At 33.3% G+C, this 3,700-nt stretch overlaps 1 protein-coding gene across 12 annotated transcripts in view; it reads left to right on the forward strand.

Annotated features, from left to right (window-relative positions):
• RBMS3 (RNA binding motif single stranded interacting protein 3) overlaps positions 1-3,700 on the forward strand; it is a 729,325-nt gene that overhangs the window by 331,365 nt on the left and 394,260 nt on the right. The window lies entirely within an intron of this gene.

Raw genomic sequence — 3,700 nt, forward strand, 5'->3', positions numbered from 1 at the left:
CTGCTTCATGTGAAATGTTTTAGTAGCATCTTTGTTTGTACATGACTGTGCTTTTATAAAACTGTATGTGTAGGATAAATGCATAGAGGTGGGTCTAAGGGAATATGCCTTTACATTATTGGTGGTTAATGACAAACATTCTACAAAATTTGTGCTAAGTTTTTCTTCTACCACCAAGATGAAAAAGTAGCCATGTAAGGGAGATGTTTTGAGAACTGCTCCTTTAAGGCCCTTTTTAGAATAAATGGTTATGAATGAAGCACCAAGATAGAAGAGGCCACTATGGAGTTTATGAAATCAGGCTTAATTAGTAACACATGATTGCTTTTGCCTTTTTGGCCAGTAGTCACACATCATAAACCAAAGCTTCAGTGGAGAATTATATTCCAAACATACAACTTCATTAAAGTCGGAAAGAAATATTACAAATGACAATTTTCACAACCTTAATATGCTATTTTAAAATTGCATAGGTATCATATTAGTCTTATAATTATTGTAATTAATTTTTAAGGACATGAAATAAGGAATTTGGATCAAGCTTAGCTTATTTCATGTTCTTCTCTATCTGCCTTGCCTTATTAGCACCAGGGCTGCATTCGTGTGTGTATGACAGAGCTCCATGCTCAGTAGGGTCCCACACATGAACAATGCTTCATTGTTTTCATCTTGAAATACTTAATAATTTTTTTAATGTAATAATACTGCAATGAACATGAGAGTGCATCTTTAACATACTGATTTCATTTCCTTTGGATATATACCCAGTGGTGAGATTGCCGGATCATATGTTAGTTCTGTTTTTAATTTTTTGAGGAATCTCCATACTATTTTCCATAATGGCTGTCCTAATTGACATTCTCCCTAACCATGTGCAGGTGTTCTTTTTTCTGCACATCCTCTCCAACACTTGTTATCGCTCATCTTTTTGATGACATGATCATCACATGAATGCTTTTTGATGGACCCTCATGTTCATTTTGCAATGGGTCACACAATTTTCCTATAGCCAGTCCTGATGAGCAATAATTACATTTCCTACTAATTAGCCTGGCTCAGTTGAAACACAGAATATTTGTTTGTCTTTTGAGAAATGCCTTGTGGTTGTGCTCATACTTTATGATAAAATAGCATTATTTAAAATATATGGAATATCAGCAAAGGAGTGTCACTCAATCCAAAATATATAAGAAGCTCAAACAACTCAATAGTAAGAAAATAAATAATCAATTGAAAAATGGGAAAAGGACCTGAATAGGCATTTCTCAAAAGAAGACACATAAATGGCCAACAGGTATATTAAAAAAATGCTCAACATCACTAATCACCAGAGAAGTGAAAATTAAAATCATAATGTGATATCACCTCATACCTGTCAGAATGGCTATTCTGCAAGTTTTGGAGAGAATGTGAAGAAAAAAGAACCCTGTACACTACTGGTAGAAAAGTAAATTAGTACAATCTTTATGGAAAACATTATAAAGATTTTTTGAAAAATTAAAAATTGAACTACCATGTGATCCAGCAATCCCGCTGCTGAGTATATATCTAAAGGAAATAAAATCAGTATGTGAAAGAGATAACTGCTCATGTTCGTTGCAGCATTATTCCCAATAGCCAAGATACAGAATCAACCTAAATGTTCATCAATGGATGAATGGATAAAGAAAATGCAGTGTATATACACAGTGGAATACTATTCAGCCTTAAAAAAGAAAGGAATCTTGTAATTTGCAACATGGATGAACCTGGAGGACAATACATTAAGTGAAATAAGCCAGGCACAGAAAAACAAATACTGCATGATCTCACTTATATGTGGAATCAGAAAAAGCATAAGAGCAGAGAGTAGAATGATGGTCGCAAAAGGCTGAAGGAGGGTGGACAGGAATTAGAAAGGCGGTGGTCAAAGAACGCAAAATTTTATTGACAAGAGAAATAAGTTCTAGTTATCTATTGTACAACATGATGATTATTGTTAATAACAATTTATTATATACTTGAAAATTGCTGGAAGAGTAGATTTGAAATGTTCTCACCACAAAATGATAAATATGTGAGGCAATGCATATATTAATTAGCTTTGTTTAGCCATTCCACAATGTATACATATTATGAAACAAAAATAAAATAAAAATTTATTAAGTTGATACAATAAATCAATGGGAGAAGGATGGACTATTTAGCACGGGAACAACTGGTTGAAAACTGTAGAAAAATTAAATTAAATTTGCTAATAGCCTTATCTCATATATCAGTATAAATTCTAGCTTGTTAAAGAGATAAATATAAAATAAATATGTGAGATCTCTGGAAACTATGTTTTCAAAGTGTGTCAGTCAAATAATACAGAGCTGTGAGAAAATAATTGTGGATGAGACTTGATATAGATCTATTTTAAAGGGATCCTATTCTGTGAAAAATCAAAATGACTTGCATTTACGTAACTGTTTACTCTATAAGGGAGTAGTAGAATATCACTATACATAAATGAGTTTATTTTCCCACTCAAAGTGTTAGGCCAAATGAGAAGTTGCTCATTTTCTACTGATGATGTATGCTTTAGAGATCTAATTATCCAATTATTCCAATTTGAAAAACAAAACTGAAGCTCAGGGAAATGTAATGATTTGTGTTCAGTGACAGCACATTAATAGCAGATCTTGAACTTGAACTGAGTCAGCTTCGCCACCTTCTCTTTCTTCACCAGGCCAGATTTTCCTGCCACATTTTGATAACTGGTTCCAGTTGGAAGCAATTACCACCATAATATTCCATGACTGGATTCTCCTTCCTGCTATACAAATCAAAAGCAATTAAAGATCTTTCAAACAACTGTGGAAGATGAGAGCTGCTCATGTCTTAGAATTAGAATACTTGGGTTCAGGTCTCCTGTCTGTGATCATGAATCTTAAGACTACCTCTGAACTTAACTTTCCTCATATTAATAGGATGTTAATAAAATCTATACCATAGGCATTTTTTCCAAAAAATTTAATGAGATTATCTATATGAAGGACTTGGACTACAGTTAGCACACACACACACACACACACACACATAAAATGATTGTTTAAAACGATCAAACCAGAAAAATGATGCTTCACATAAACAATTTTTTCATATATCATAAATAAAATACAATAAAAAGATGTATTTTAAATCAGATTTTGTTGTTTTAATTAATTACAGCGCTTTGGGGTGCTGAGGTAAAAAGACTACTTGAGTCCAAAAATTTGAGATCAGCCTGGGCAACATAGCTGTGGTAAACTTTAGCAACGAATATAGAGTTCCATAATTTTGAATTCCATTTCCTAAGTGACCCAGAGATATTCAGCAGAAGATGGCAAGCTCATAACTAAATTCAATTTTTATTTTCTTGTATCACTCATGTAAATAAAACATCTCTCTTATGTCTTTACTTTTGGTTTGTTTTAATGTTAAGAGACATAACATGATGAGAGGAAATAAAAATTTTCAAAATGAGGAATAGAAGTTCTTGCTATGTAGACTTTTTAATTTAGGGCTAAGGGAACTGAAGGAATTCAGTTGAGGGAAAGATAGTCTGAGCAATTATAGAAGCCACTCGTTGACGACCATGTTCACATGACAGGGAGACAGCTCAAGGAGGAAATGAGGGGTGGTTACAGGAGAAAAGTACAGAAAATTTGAGCCAGTTCTCCTTTCCTCTAGTTTTCTG

This window comes from Homo sapiens, chromosome 3, assembly GCF_000001405.40.
Source record: "Homo sapiens chromosome 3, GRCh38.p14 Primary Assembly".
NCBI lineage: Eukaryota > Metazoa > Chordata > Mammalia > Primates > Hominidae > Homo > Homo sapiens.